The sequence below is a fragment of the Homo sapiens genome, chromosome 14, assembly GCF_000001405.40.
Source record: "Homo sapiens chromosome 14, GRCh38.p14 Primary Assembly".
Classification (NCBI taxonomy): Eukaryota; Metazoa; Chordata; class Mammalia; order Primates; family Hominidae; genus Homo; species Homo sapiens.
Window position 1 is genome coordinate 39,322,922 of NC_000014.9, and position 16,536 is coordinate 39,339,457.

The following is a 16,536-nucleotide window of genomic DNA, read 5'->3' on the forward strand; positions in this document are numbered from 1 at the left end:
TGAATTTGAGATAGGAACATAAAGTAATGAATCTAAATAAAAACACCAAATTAAATCCAACAAATCAAAGTTCATATACTCAGATGGGTATTACTCATCTAAATAGTATCTCAGGAAGTCTGTGTACTTGTTAGTTGAAGCTGCCATTACTCCACATATTTTTGGAACTCTTCCTTTGGAATTGCTTTCAAATAATATGAGAAAATCAACTTACTACTGTATGGTCATGAGATATTCTCCCTTTGCCCATATCCTGTTTGTATCCTCTTTCTCCACCCTCATTTTGCTTCACTTAGAACTGTTCCTGTCCACCTCCCAGTCCCCCCAGTAGATTGGGCCACAGCCTGGGGTCCCTACAGAGCCTCTGCTTGTGTTGATTTTGAACTGGAAGCTCCTAGGGAAAGGGACTGCCCTATAGACTGATACTTAGAGCCTTAGGGAGGCTTTGCATTGAGCACTTCAGGAAAGAGACTGATTTTGACATTGACATGTCTGCTGCAAGCTTATGACTTAGTTCTCTAAGTCCACCCCCACCCCTCCATTTTTTACCTTGGCTTACACTAAGAAATGTATTTTGTATCATGTCATATTGTACACTAACATAAACATGATTGAAATATAATTGAAACCGCTACATGAAATAGTACTTGCCATTACAGTTTTGATGCTTTCTATTCAATTTTATCCCGTTTCATTAATTTAATCTTAATTAGCATTATTTTTTAAACTTCACACATCACAAATGAGTAGGAGCTAGCAGTCTGAAAAAACAGTGCCCTAGAAATAAGGGTATAATTGGCTAAACTGCAAATATGAGTCACTGGAAATTGAATTACATAAGTCAAGGATTGCTTGTAGTCAATTGAATATTTGGAATGATTAAAATTTACATTTGATTTCTCCTCTTCTATTTCCTCTCCTATTTAATTTAAAGATACAGTGTGTTTAGATTATCTGCAAGGGTGTTTTACCATTTGTTTAAAAAGCTACAGAAGTTCTAGGTAAGTTGTCATCGGGTCTTACAGAGTTGATCCGAACTAAAAGTTTCTATGATCCACCAAAGGAGGATGGAGAGTACCTGTTATTTTTCCTTACTTTTATTATCTTTTTAATTTGAAGTTTGGATGAGTGGTATATTTGAATAATACTGAGTACAAGTAAAACAATTTCTTCTTAGAGTAAATTGTATGTAACTGGGTTTGAATAGAAAACTTTAACCATTAGAACTTTTAGGTTTGTAATATTCACTGGGTAGTCAGTTGGCCTGTAGCTTTGGTCTTCTGGAAGTAAGCAATCAGGAAGGAAAGCCTCTGAATGTCTCCTTTAAATCTCTGTGCTTCATTCCAGATGAACTCAGCCTAAATGACGACTTGCACATTTTCTGCTTTCCCAGCCTTCTTCTTCTAATGAGCTAATTATTAGGATGAAGAAGCGAGAAGGAAAGATTTGGGGAACTTAATAGAATGTATACTAATAAGGAAAAATGATAGTTTACCTCCTGATGTAAAAGCCAGTTGATCTGATTCTACTAAAGGGAGTAGATGGAAAATTTGTTTTAAAGATTACTATATATTAAATGTGAATGCTTATGCTGATTTGTACAAGTTACCAAGAAAAGTTAAAATTAATTTTGTTCTCTTAAAGGAGGTACTGAAATAGAGTAAGCATTTTTGTTAGACTTCTTTTTTTTTTATTTTTTTTTTTTGAGATAGTCTCACTGTGTTGCCCAGGCTGGAGTGCAGTGGCACGATCTCGGTTCACTGCAACCCCTTCCTCTCAGGTTCAAATGATTCTTGTTCCTTAGCTTCCCGAGTAGCTGGGATTACAGGCACGTGCCACTGTACCCAGCTAATTTTTGTATTTTCAGTAGAGATGGGGTTTCACCATGTTGGCCAGGCTGGTTTCGAACTCCTCACCTCAGGTGATCCGCCCACCTCGGCCTCCCAGAGTGCTAGGATTACAGGCATGAGCCATCACGCCTGGCTATTTTAGTTAGGCTTCTATTGAAAAAAAATTGTTCACTGGGTGCAGTGGCTTACAACTATAATCCTAGTACTTTGGGAGGTCAAGGTGGTGGGATTGTTTGAGCCCAGGAGTTCAAGACCAGCCTGGGCAACATGGCAAAACCCTGTATCTACAAAAAATACAACAATTAACAAAGCGTGGTGGCACATGCCTGTTGTCCCAGCTACTTGTAAGGCTGAGGTGGGAGAATTGCTTGAGCCTAGGAGGCGGAGGTTGCAGTGAGCTGAGAATCGCACCACTGCACTCCAGTCTGGGTAACAGAGTGAGTGAGACCTTGTCTCAAAAAAAAAAATGTTTTTAAAGCTGTTCCTTGAGAATAATAAGCTTTTGTTTTCTGGACAATATAATTTTGAGAAGACCCCCCTTTTCCCTCTCAATGACAGATAAATGAGGTATTAATATATTTTATTGAATGTTAAATTTTTTTTTTTTTTTTTTTGAGATGGAGTCTCGCTCTATCCCCCAGACTGGTGTGCAGTGGCATGATCTTGGCTCACTGCAACCTCCTCCTCCTGAGTTCAAGCCATTCTTCTGCCTCAGCCTCCTGAGTAGCTGGGACTACAGGCGCCTGCCACCATGCCCGGCTAATTTTTTGTATTTTTAGTAGAGATGGGGTTTCACCTTGTTAGCCAGGATGGTCTCGATCTCCTGACCTTGTGACCCGCCCGCCTTGACCTCCCAAAGTGCTGGGATTACAGGTGTGAGCCACCGCGCCTGGCCAAAATTTTTTTATATTTGTCTTTTCCATTTTAGTTGAATATGGGTTTTGTTTTTTGTTTTTTTTTGAGATGGAGTCTCACTCTGTCACCCAGGCTGGAGTGCAGTGGCACGATCTTGGCTCACTGCAACCTCCACCTCCTGAGTTCAAGCCATTCTTCTGCCTCAGCCTCCCTAGTAGCTGGGATTACAGGCACCTGCCACCATGCCTGGCTAACTTTTGTACTTTTAGTAGAGACAGGGTTTCACCATGTTGGCCAGGCTTGTCTCAAATTCCTGATCTCAGGTGGTCCACCCTCCTCGACCTCCCAAAGTGCTGGGATTACAGGCATGGGCCACTGCGTCCAGCCCTGTATATGGGTTTTTAATTAAGGTACTATCTTTTCTGTGGTCGTAAGAAGGGAACTTTAAAATTACTCCTGTTTGTAAATGTAAATATACTAGATTTTCTTATCCAAAAGAATGTTAGCTCATTTAAAGTGATTATTTCAACAGTGCTGTTGTTTTTGAAACTATCGTTTTAGACTTGTCTTCAGAACTTATGAATTCTTCTTTTGAATGTGAATTTGATATTTAGAAATCACTAAAAGCCATCTAGTGCCAGTTTATCTGTTGTACATAATGTTTTAAATCAGGCTATTTAAAATCATTTTGGGGCAGAAGTATTTATCTTTTTTATCTTCTCATTGACTCGTAACACTATTCAGTGAATTTGGGCAGAAGTAGAGAGTCATGTTTTAACTTTGAGATGCAGTTTTTTACATGGCTCTTAAGTTAAACTGAGTACATTTCCAAAAGAGTTTTTCTGAAAAATACTTTAGTAGCAAAATTAGTAGAATAGATATAGAACTGCTAAGATGACTGTTTTAAAGGAATCATGCTCATTTGGACTATTGATATATTAGTTTAAGCAACAAAATCATTTATGCTTTTTATTTAATCATTTATTATATTTTATATTTATTTTAAATATTTTATATTTATTTTATATTATATTTTTTATTTAATCAGTTCTTATAATTACTTTATAATTATCCTGTTACATCAGGCATAGGAATCATAGCAATTTACTTTCTACACTGTTATTTTTCAGACTTTGTATTTATAATTTATGATTTAACCACTGATTTTATGTGTAAAACAAGTATATAAGACTTTTTAAGATGAAACAGATTTGTATGTTTTTTTTTCTTTAATTAGGCTCACGAGGCCCAGGGAATCCTCTGGACCATCAGATTACCAATGAAAGAGGAGAATCAAGCTGTGATAGGTTAACCGATCCTCATAGGGCTCCCTCTGACACTGGGTCTCTGTCACCTCCATGGGACCAGGACCGTAGGATGATGTTTCCTCCGCCAGGTATGTAAAGACAATAGTTATTATTTCTCTTTGAAAGGCAGCTGGGATGTGGAATACACAGGAATGGAAGAAGGGAGGAGTATATGTTTGTTCTCTCTTAAGAAAAATCATCGTACATTTTTGAAAACAACAATGATAAATAATCTAAACAGAATGATTTGAGATAATTGTTCATATTATAGAAAGCTGTTTTCTCCCTAAATGGAATGTTTTTATTGTTTTTGTTGCTTGTAGAGGTAATAATGCATGTTTACTTTAGAAAATCCAAACAACACAGAAATGTGTAAAGAAGTGAAAAATCCCTTTTGTCATCTTAGCGTGTCCTTCCCAGAATTTAGTTGTAGGTATATATCTTTTAGAGATTTTTTTGGGTATACATTTATACACATAGCTGTTCAAATTCTTTTAATCACTCTGTGCAGTTGTACCATTCATCCTCTTTTGTAATTGTCTTTTTTCACTGACCATTTTATCTCACCAAAATAAATATATTTACCAGAAGAGTCACAGCAGAATATCTTGAAATAAGATAATAACTGCCATTCAACAGCTGCATCATCTACATTAGGTGTTTCTCCTAATGCTATCCTCCCCTGGCCCCCCACCCCCAGAGAGGCCCCGGTGTGTGATGTTCCCCTCCCTGTGCCCATATGTTCTCATTATTCAACTCCCACTTATGAGTGAGAACATGCGGTGTTTGGTTTTCTGTTCCTGTGTTAGTTTGCTGAGAATGATGGTTTCCAGCTTCATCCATGTACCTTGCAAAGGACATGAACTCATTCTTTTTTATGGCTGCCTAGTATTCCATGGTGTGTATGTGCCACATTTTCTTTATGCAGTCTGACATTGATGGGCATTTGGGTTGGTTCCAAGTCTTTACTATCATGAACAGTGCCGCAATAAATATACATGTGCATGTGTCTTTATAGTAGAATGATTTATAATCCTTTGGGTATATACCCAGTAATGGGATGGCTGGGTCAAATGGTATTTCTAGTTCTAGATGCTTGAGGAATCGCCACACTGTCTTCCACAATGGTTGAACTAACTTACACTCCCACTAACAGTGTAAAGCGTTCCTATTTCTTCACATCCTCTGCAGCATCTGTAGTTTCCTGACTTTTTAATGATCACCATTCTGACTGGCGTGAGATGGTATCTCATTGTGGTTTTGATTTGCATTTCTCTAATGACCAGTGATGGTGAGCTTTTTTTCATATGTTTGTTGGCTGCATAAATGTCTTCTTTTGAGAAGTGTCTGTTCATATCCTTCGCCCACTTTTTGTTGGGGTTGTTTGCTTTTTTCTTGTAAATTTAAGTTGCTTGTAGATTGTGGATATTAGCCCTTTGTCAGATGGATAGATTGCAAAAATTTTCTCCCATTCTGTAGGTTGCCTGTTCACTCTGATGGTAGTTTCTTTTGCTGTGCAGAAGCTCTTCAGTTTAATTATATCTCATGTGTCAATTTTGGCTTTTGTTGCCATTGCTTTTGTTGTTTTAGTCATGAAGTCTTTGCCTATGCCTGTGTCCTGAATGGTATTGCCTAGGTTTTCTTGTAGGGTTTTTATGGTTTTAGTTCTTATATTTAAATCCTTAATCCATCTTGAGTTGATTTTTGTATAAGGTGCAGGGAAGGGGTCCAGTTTCAGTTCTCTGCATAAGGCTAGCCATTTTTCCGAACGCAATTTATTAAATAGGGAATCCTTTCCCCATTGGTTGTTTTTGTCAGGTTTGTCAAAGATCAGTTGGTTGTAGATGTGTTGTGTTATTTCTGAGGCCTCTGTTTTGTTCCATTGTTCTATATGTCTGTTTTTGTACCAGTACCATGCTGTTTTGGCTACTGTAGCCTTGTAGTATAGCTTGAAGTCAGGTGGTGTGATGTCTCCAGCTTTGTATTTTTTGCTTAGGATTGTCTTGGATATATGGGCTTTTTTTTGCTTCTATATGAAATTTAAAGTAGTTTTTTCTAATTCTTTGAAGAAAGTCAGTGGTAGCTTGATGGGAATAGCATTGAATCTATAAATTACTTTGGGTAGTATGGCCATTTTCACGATATTGATTCTTCATATCCATGAGCATGGAATGTTTCTTCTTTTGTTTGTGTCCTCTCTTATTTCCTTGAGCAGTGGTTTGTAGTTCTCCTTGAAGAGGTCCTTCACATCCCTTGTAAGTTGTATTCCTAGATATTTTATTCTCTTTGTAGTAATTGCGAATGGGAGTTTGGTCATGATTTGGCTCTCTGTTATTGGTATATAGGAATGCTTGTGATTTTTGCACATTGATTTTGTATCCTGAGACTTTGCTGAAGTTGCTTATTAGCTTAAGGAGTGTTTGGGCTGAGATGATGGGGTTTTCTAAATATACAATCATGTCATCTGCAAACAGAGACAACTTGACTTCCTCTCTTCCTATATGAATACCCTTTATTTATTTCTCTTGCCTGATTGCCCTGGCCAGAACTTCCAATACTATGTTGAATAGGGGTGGTGAGAGAGGGCATCCTTGTCTTGTGCTGGTTTTCAAAGGGAATTCTTCCAGCTTTTGCCCATTCAGTATGATATTGCCTGTGAGTTTGTCATAAATAGCTCTTATTATTTTGAGATATGTTCCATCACTACCTAGTTTATTGAGTTTTTTTTTTTTTTTTTAGCATGAAGGGGTGTTGGATTTTATCAAAGGCCTTTTCTGCATCTATTGAGATAATCATGTGGTTTTTGTCATTGGTTCTGTTTATGTGATGAATTACGTTTACTAATTTGCATATGTTGAACCAGCCTTGCATCCCAGGGATGAAGCCAACTTGATCGTGGTGGGTAAGCTTTTTAATGTGCTGCTTGATTTGGTTTGCCAGTATTTTATTGAGGATTTTTGCATCAATGTTCATCAGAGATATTGGCCTGAAATTTTCTTTTTTTGTTGTGTCTCTGCCAGGTTTTGGTATCAGGATGATGCTGACCTCATAAAATGAGCTAGGGAGGATTCCCTCTTTTTCTGTTGATTGGAATAGTTTCAGAAGGAATGGTACCAGCTCCTCCTTGTACCTCTGGTAGAATTTGGCTGTGAATCCATCTGGTCCTGGACTTTTTTGGTTGGTAGGCTATTAATTACTACGTCAATTTCAGAACTTGTTACTGATCTATTCAGGAATTTGACTTCTTCCTGGTTTAGTCTTGTGAGGGTGTGTGTGTCCAGGAATTTATCCATTTCTTCTAGATTTTCTAGTTTGTTCACATGGAGTTCTTTATAGTATTCTCTGATGGTAGTTTGTATTTCTGTGGGATCAGTGGTGATATCCCCTTTATCATTTTTCCTTGCATCTATTTGATTCTTCTCTCTTTTCTTCCTTATTAGTCTGGCTAGTGGTCTATTTATTTTGTTAATCTTTTCAGAACACCAGCTCATGGATTTTTTGAAGGGTTTTTTGTGTCTTTATCTCCTTCAGTTCTGCCCTCATCTTAGTTATTTCTTGTCTTCTGCTAGATTTTTACTTTGTTTGCTCTTACTTCTGTAGTTCTTTTAATTGTGATGTTTGGGTGTTGATTTTAGATTTTTCCCGCTTGATCTCCTGTGGGTATTTTAGTGCTGTAAATTTCCCTCTAAACACTGCTTTAGCTGTGTCCCAGAGATTCTGGTATGTTGTGTCTTTGTTCTCATTGGTTTCAAATAACTTATTTATTTCTGCCTTAATTTTGTTATTTACCTAGTAGTCATTCAGGAGCAGGTTGTTCAGTTTCCATGTAGCTGTGCGGTTTTGAGTGAATTTCTTAATCCTGAGTTCTAATTTGATTGCACTGTGGTGTGAGGGACTGTTATGATTTCCATCCTTTTGCATTTGCTGAGGAGTGATTTACTTCCAATTATGTGGTTGATTTTAGAATAAGTGCTATGTGGCACTGAGAAAAATGTATATTTTGTTGATTTGGGGTGGAGAGTTCTGTAGTTGTCTGTTAGGTCCGCTTGGTCCAGAGCTGAATTCAAGTCCTGAATATTGTTAATTTTCTGTCTCGTTGATCTGTCTAATATTGACAGTGGGGTGTCAAAGTCTCCCACTATTATTGTGTGGGAGTCTAAGTCTCTTTGTAGGTCTCTAAGAACTTGCTTTATGAATCTGCATGCTCATGTATTGGGTGCATATATAATTAGGGTAGTTAGCTCTTGGTGTTGCATTGATCCCTTTACCATTATGTAATGCCCTTCTTTGACTTTTTGATCTTTGTTGGTTTCAAGTCTTTTTTATCAGAGACTAGGATTACAACCCTGCTTTTTTTTGCTTTCCATTTGCTTGGTAAATCTTCCTCCATCCCTTTATTTTGAGCCTATGTGTGTCTATGCACATGAGATGGGTCTCCTGAATACAGTACACCGATGGGTCTTGACTCTTTATCCAATTTGCCATTCTCTGTCTTTTAATTGGGGCATTTAGCCCATTTACATTTAAGGTTAATATTGTTATGTGTGAATTTGATCCTGTTATTATGATGCTAGCTGGTTATTTTGCCCATTAGTTGATGCAGTTTCTTCATCACGTTGATGGTCTTTTACGTTTTGTTGTGTTTTTGCAGTGGCTGGTAGCGGTTTTTCCCTTCCATATTTAGTGCTTCCTTCAGGAGCCCTTGTAAGGCAGGCCTGGTGGAGCCAAAATCCCTAAGCATTTGCTTTTCTGTAAAGGATTTTATTTTTCCTTTACTTATAAAGCTTAGTTTGGCTGGATATGAAATTCTGGGTTGAAAATTCTTTAAGAATATTGCATATTGGCCCCCATTCTCTTCTGGCTTGTAGGGTTTCTGCAGAGAGATCCGCTGTTAGTCTGATGGGCTTCCCTTTGTGGTTAACCTGACCTTTCTCTCTGGCTGCCCTTAACGTTTTTTCCTTCATTTCAATGTTGCTGAATCTGACGATTATGTATCTTGGGGTTGTTCTTCTAGAAGAGTGTCTTTGTATTTCGTGAATTTGAATGTTGGCCTATCTTGCTAGGTTGGGGAAGTTCTCCTGGCTAATATCCTGAAGAGAGTTTTCCAACTTGATTCCATTCTCCCGATCACTTTCAGGTACACCAATCAAATATAGGTTTGGTCTTTTCACATAGTCCCATATTTCTTGGAGGCTTTGTTCATTCCATTTTATTCTTGTTTCTCTAATCTTGTCTTCACGCTTTATTTTAGTAAGTTAGTGTTCAATCTCTGATATCCTTTCTTCCGACTGATCAATTTGGCTATATTGATACTTGTGTATGCTTCATGAAGTTCTCGTGTTGTGTTTTTTGGCTGCATCAGGTCATTTATGTTCTTCTCGAAATTGGTTTTTCCAGTTTGCAATTCCTCTAACCTTTTATCAATGTTCTTAGCTTCCTTGCATTAGGTTAGAATATGCTCCTTTAGCTTGGCGGAGTTTATTACTCACCTTCTGAAGCCTACTTCTGTCCATTTGTCGAACTCATTGTCTGTCCAGTTTTGTTCCCTTGCTGCCAAGGAGTTGTGATCCTTTGAAAGACGAGGCATCCTGGTTTTTGGAATTTTTAGCCTTTTTGCCTGGTTTTTCCTCATCTTCCTGGATTTATTTACCATTGGTCTTTGCTGTTGATGACCTTCGGATGGAGTTTTTGCTTGGTCCTTCACGGCACAGTCCCTCATGGCTTCTCTTGGCTAGGGGAGGAAATTTCCTGAACGCTTGTGCTTCCCAGGTGAGGTGACGCCCACCCTGCTTCTGCTTGCAGTCCGTGGACTGCACCCGCTCTCTAACCAGTCCCAGTGAGATGAACCAGGTACCTCAGTTGGAAATGAAGACATCACCCGCCTTCTGCTTTGGCCTCACTGGGAGCTGAAGACCGGAGCTGTTCCTATTTCGACGTCTTGCCTGGGAATCAACAATTTCTTGTGATCTATCTTCAGGTTTACTGACTCTTTCCTTGTCATCTCCATTCTGTTATTAAGCTTATCTAGTAAAAGTTTTATTTTAGATATATTTTTCAGGTCTAAAATTACCATTTGGTTCCTTTTTATAATTTGATTTATCTGCTGAGTTTTTTATCTTTTTATTCATTATAAGCATTTTTTTTAAACCATTGAGTATATTAGTTTTATAATAACTGCTTTAAAGTCATTGTATGGTAATTCTAACATCAGGGTCATCTTGAGGTTGGCCTCTAGTGATGATATTTTCCCTTAAGGATGGGTCACATTCTCTTTCTTGATGAGTTTGTATTGGATACTAGACATTGTGGCAATTCTGGATTCTATTCTATTCCTCTAAGAGTGTTACTGGTCTTGCTGTAGAAGACCATTAACTTGGATGGGCTCAGACTGCAGCCTTTTCCCTTCTGTGGTGGGGAACAGCTCAAATATTAGTTCAGTTATTTTTGCCTTAGCTGAAAACTGCTTAAATTTGCCATACACATGTGTTGCTCTGGAGTCAGCCATAGACTTGGGCAGAGATTGTACCCAGAATATTGGGCTCTACCTTTGCGGCTTTCTCCTTTCTAGGATATCCCAATCCCATTGCCTCAGGCTTGGGCTCTGTGTACTTGTTCTTCAGGCAAGAAAGTTTTATCGAGTTTTGACTGCTGTGTGCTGCAACTCACTGTGGTCTTCTATCAGGCTAAAACATAAAAATGGAAAACTCACCCCATACCCGGTTGTTACTCCTTTCTTCTTCCAAGCTCTCTCTTCTTTTCTAAGTCCTCCTGCTTTTGTTGATGCTTAAGCGCTTCAGGCAGTTATTTTTTTGCATATTGTCTGGAGTTTATACTTATGTGTAGGAGAGTCAGTCTGAATTTACTCTACCATACTAGAAATGGAACCTGGTCTCCGTACTTTTCAATCATTTGTGAGCTTCTAAATTGATACCTTCATAGAAGAGATATGGTCCATTCTACAGAGTATCTCCAAATAATGAACCTGATCCCTGTGGTTTGACAGAGGGCCAACCTGTGTCAACTATAATCTCAATGTCATAGACAAGGGTAATTCTACAGACACAGTAAAGGAATTTTCAGTATTGTTCCAAAATTTATGATGAGTGAGAAGGGCTAAATGACTCCTGAGGCTCTAGCATGAATTAGAGTAATGCTGATAAATGTATTTCTCAGTTAGCTTCATTCCTACCTAAAGTTAAAAAATATTCTATGTTTGCTCTTGGTATATTGGTACATGCCATTTAAATAGTCACTGAACAGGCCGGGTGTGGTGGCTCATGCCTGTGATCCCAGCACTTTGGGAGGCCAAGGCAGGTGGATCACCTGAGGCCAGGAGTTCAAGACCAGCCTGGCTAACATGGCAAAACCCTGTTCCTACAAAAAATACAAAAATTAGCTGGGTGTGGTGGCAGGCGCCTGTAATCTCAGCTACTCGGGAGGCTGAGGCAGGAGAATTGCTTGAACCTGGGAGACAGAGGTTGCAGTGAGCCGAGATTGCGCCACTGCACTCTAGTCTGGCAACAGAGAGAGACTCTCTCAAAAAAAAAATAAAAAAATGGTCACTGAACAGATTTCAGGGTTCTTTTCTTTTATGTTGTGTTTCAGTTAACGAAATGATAATGAATGAGGGGACTTAGGCTTTTTTTTTTTGAAGTGGAGTTTCACCTTTGTCATCCAGGCTGGGGTGCAATGGTGCCATCTCAGCTCACTGCAACCTCTGCCTCCCGGGTTCAAGCGATTCTCCTGCCTCATCCTCCCGAGTACCCGGGATTACAGGGCATGTGCCACCATGCCCAGCTAATATTTGTATTTTTAGTAGAGACGGGGTTTCACCATGTTGGCCAGGCTTGTCTCGAACTCCTGACCTCAGGTGATCCACCTGCCTTGGCCTCCCAAAGTGCTGTGATTACAGGTGTGAGCCACCACACCTGGCCTAGGCTTTTTAAACCTTATCATTGCTATTACTTTTTTGTGTAACCTTGAGCAATAAATTTTACCTGTCATGGTTTTCTCTCTTTCAAAATATGGTCTTCTGGCTGGGTGCAGTGGCTCATGCCTGTAATCCTAGCACTTTGGGAGGATGAGGTAGGAGGATTGCTTGAGGCCAGGAGTTCTGGAGCAAGCTGGCCAAAATAGTGAGATTCTGTCTCCACAAAAAAACAAACAAAATAGTGACTTCTGTAAAACAGAGATGGTGATATTCTAAAGTAATCTGCCTCTCTTTTATGTAAGGTTGACTTATTGGGACTCATGAAGAGTCCTTCTCACTAATAATTGTCTTTAAGATTTTTCTTAAATTTTAAAATATTTTAGTTTAAAATACTTATGTTAAAAAAATATGACAACTAAAATAACTAAGTTTCTGAAGAATATGGATTCTGCATTTGAGATTATCTGTCATTTAGTCTGTTAGGCATAATTTATAAAATGTATATATTTTCTTAACATGTTTCTACTTGGAAGAAGTGTTTTAGATTTCCATTGACTTAAGATGAGTTAGCAGAAATGATTTTAAATAGTTCCATATTTACAAGGAATCATTTATTTTTGCACCGTTAAATACTTTGAAAAAGGAGAAAACTTTACTTAGCTTATATAGTCAGAAAAAACTGCTCTAACTTATCTCTTTTCTCATATGCCCTATTCCAGACATTCTTTTAAAAAATATTTTAATAATGTTATCTTTTATTTGAGATTCACAGGGTACATGTGCAGGTTTGTTACATGGGTATATTGCATGATACTGAAGTTTGGGGCGTGACTGAATTCATCACCCAGAAAGTGAGCATAGTACCCACAGTTTTTCAGCCCTTGCCTCCCTTTGTCTCTCCTCGCTCTACTCTGGTAGTCCCCAGTGTCTCTTGTTATCATCTTTATATCCATGTGTACCCAGTGTTTAGCTACCACTTACAAGTAAGAATGTGTTAGTTTTATATTTCTGCATTAATTCACTTAGGATAATGGCTTCCAGCTGCATCCATGTTGTTGCAAAGGACATAATTTTATTCTTTCTTATGGCTGTGTAGTATTCTATGGTGTATATGTACTGCATTTTCTTTATCCAGTCCACCGTTGGTGGGTATCTGGGTTGATTTCATGTCTTTGCTGTTGTGAATAGTGTTACGATAAACATGAGTGCTTGTGCCTTTTTTGTAGAACGACTTAGTTTCTTTTGGATATATACCCAGTAATGGGATTGCTGGGTCAAATGGTAGTTCTGTTTTAAGTTCTTTGAGAAATCTTCAAACTGATTTCCACAGTGGCCTAATAATTTACATTCCCTCCAACAGTGTATAAGCATTCCCTTTTCTCTACAACCTTGGCAACATCTGTTATTTTGACTTTTTAATAGTAGCCATTCTGACTAGTGTGAGGTGGAATCTCATTGTGGTTTTGATCCAAACATTCTTATTACTTAAAGGTTTTATTAGCAAGTATACACCTAGTTTCTTCAAGTAATCAACACTTTATTCTCATTATTTTCAGTAGCAGACTCAATCTTATAAACTAATAAGGATTTTAAAACTTTTAAGTTTTCTTTTAAAACTCTGTGGTTATTAAAGGTTAGTACACAAATTTGGCTACCTTATTAGGAAAGAGCTAATTCTGCTGAAGCATAGTATGTGTACAAAGTTTTGTACAGTGTTGAACAGTCTACAATGTATCTGTTCATCTAACATTCTTATATGTGCTTTTAATTAGTTTGCATGTTTAGAACAAGACTGGCTTAGGTGAAAAAGCATTTGGACTGGAAATCAAGAAATTTGCTTTCTGGTTTTCACTCCTTTATCTTTTAGTGTGATTTTAAAAATTTATTAAAAAATTTTTTTAGAGACAGGTTCTCACTTTGTCACCCAGCTAGAGTGCTGTGGTGTGATTATAGCTCACTGTAGCCTTGAACTCCTGATCTCAAGCAATCCTCCCCTCTCAGCCTCCCAAGTAACTGGGACTGTAAGCACATGCCACAATGCCTGGGTAATTTTTATTTTATTTTAAATTGTTTTTGGAGACAGGTTTTTGCTGTGTTACCCAGTCTGGTGTCAAACTCTTGGCCTCAGGTGGTCCTCCCTCCTCAGCCTCCTGAATAGTGGGGGATTACAGGCACGAGCCATCGTGCCTGGCTTTTAGTGTGATTTTTAAAACTTGTTTCATTTCTTTGGACCTTATATATTATATAGTGACATAACCATATAACTCCATAAGAAACTCATTCGAATATAATAGTATAAGTAGGTGGAAAGTAAAAGGATAGAAAAGATACACCATGCAAACATTAATCGAAAGAAAATGAGGTCAAGAAGATATAGCAAATGTTAAATGTGTGTATGCCAACAGCAGCTACAAAGTATGGGAAACAAAAACTGATAGCACTGAGAGGAACAAAGACAAATCCAGTTATAATTGGAGACTTCAACACCCCTCTCTCGGCAATTGATGGAACAACTGAAGAGAAAATTCAGCAAGTATATAGAAGAACTGAACAGTGCCCTCAACCAACAAGACCTAACTGACATTTATAGAACAAGTTACCCAACAGCAGCAGAATACACGTGTTTTTAAAGTAGCAGTGGAACATTTTACAAGACAGATTGTATCCTGGGCCATAAAACAAACCTCAACACATTTAAAAGAAGTGAAATAATATACAGTATGTTCTTTGATCACAATGGAATCAAACTATAAATAATAAACTATTGATACATGCAACAATTTGGATGTATCTCAATGGTTGAGTGAAGAAAACCAGTCTCAAAAGTTTACATACTGTGTTATTCCATGTATATAACATTCTTTTTTTTTTCGAGATGGAGTCTCACTCTGTCACCCAGGCTGGAGTGCTGTGGTGTAATCTCGGCTCACTGCAACCTCTGCCTCCTGGGTTCAAACTGTCCTTCAGCCTCAGCCTCCTGAGTAGCTGGGACTTCAGGCACACACCACCATGCCCGGCCAGGCTAATTTTAAAATTTTTAGTAGAGACAGGGTTTTGCCATTTTAGCCAGGCTGGTCTCGAACTTCTGACCTCAAGTGATCCACCCACCTCGGCCTCCCAAAGTGCTGGGATTACAGGCGTGAGCCACTGTGCCCGGCCATATATAACATTCTTGAAATGACGGTATAGAAACAGAAAACAGATTGGTGGATTCAAGAGTTTGAGACAGTAGTGGGGAGGGGAGTGGGTATGACTGTAAAGGGGTGGCACGAGGGAGGTGTTTTTGGTGGCACAATAATTCTGTATCTTGAGAGTGGTAGTGATTACATAAATCTACATATGCTGTAAAATGTCATAGAACTAGACACGAGTTGTACCAATGTCAGTTTTCTGGCTGTTACAATACACTATAGTTATGAAAGACGTAAACATTGAGTAAAGGGTGTGCAGGATCTCTCTGTAGTATTTTTGCATCTTTCTGTGAATCTATTTTAAAATAAAAAAGTAAAAATCTTATTGTATATCATACACATACAGGGAAGTACAAATATTAAGCATATAATGTGATTTTTTTTCACAATTTGAGCACAGTGATATAACTAACACTCAGATAAAGGGATAGTTTTCAGTTTGGTTTTTCATAAGTTTAATTAGAAAACTTATTTATAATTTTAGCAGAAAAAATGTTCTTGAATAATGTAAGTGAGTTGATAATATTCACATATCATATAGTAATCACAATTAAAATTTTAACAGAAATATGTCCTGGGAATAACCAGTTCATTATAAATTCTTTATAAATACTAACCTGCAACAAAAATTTATCAATGTGACTTACCTTGCTCAGCGCTTCAGTTGTTAAGAAAAAACACAAAAGTGTTTTCATATTTAGAATGAGAACATTACAGATCAAAGAGACTTGGTAAGAAAGTAGTTTAAATTGTCCATGTAATTCTTTTGCCAGGGTTAACTGTAACAAAGGTGATTCTCATAAAAACTTTCAAGTTGTATGTGTTGGCTTGTTTTGTCTTCACTTTTAGAAATGAAAGTGAGGTATCATAATTTATTAAGTAGATAATGTCACTATCCTGTAGATCAGCAGTCCCTAACCTTTTTGGCATCAGGGACTGGTTTCATGGAGCCCAGTTTTTCCATGGAGGTTGCAGGGAGGAGGATGGTTTCGGGATGAAAGTGTTCACTTCAGATCATCAGGCATTAGTTAGATTCTCATAAGGAATGCACAGGCTAGATCCCTCACATGCGCAGTTCACAGTAGGGTTTGCGCTTCTATGAGAATAGAATGCCTCAGCTGACAGGAGGTGGAGCTTAGGTGGTAATGCTCGCTTGCCCTCCTCACCTCCTGCTGTGCAAACAGTTCCTAACAGCCCGCGGAAAGGTACTGGCCCGCAGCCCAGGGGTTAGGGACCCCTGCTGTAGATGACTACATACATTTATTTATTTATTTCCCTGTCTTATGGTGCTGATTGATAACTACTTCTACTGTAGCTCAGGTTGGGATATATAGTTTGAAAATTGTTGGCATATATTTAGATAGAGAGATACAGTGGGTTAGTAGCTTTCACAAGGAGAAGGA

General features: G+C 38.2%; 1 protein-coding gene across 61 annotated transcripts in view; it reads left to right on the top strand.

Moving 5' to 3' along the window:
- Nucleotides 1-16,536, top strand: part of MIA2 (MIA SH3 domain ER export factor 2) — a 154,608-nt gene that overhangs the window by 89,007 nt on the left and 49,065 nt on the right. For 58 of the 61 annotated variants that reach the window (NR_148721.1, NR_148722.2, NR_148723.2 and 55 more), the window contains one exon: nt 3,943-4,101. Coding sequence is in view for 58 of the 61 variants with exons in the window: in XM_024449592.2 (XP_024305360.1) it covers nt 3,943-4,101 (159 nt within the window). In the remaining 3 variants the exon portion in view is untranslated. Of the gene's footprint in view, nt 1-1,347; nt 2,489-3,942; nt 4,102-16,536 lie in introns of those variants that run through there. The other 3 variants (XM_024449597.2, XM_047431401.1, XM_047431412.1) reach the window with 2 other exon arrangements.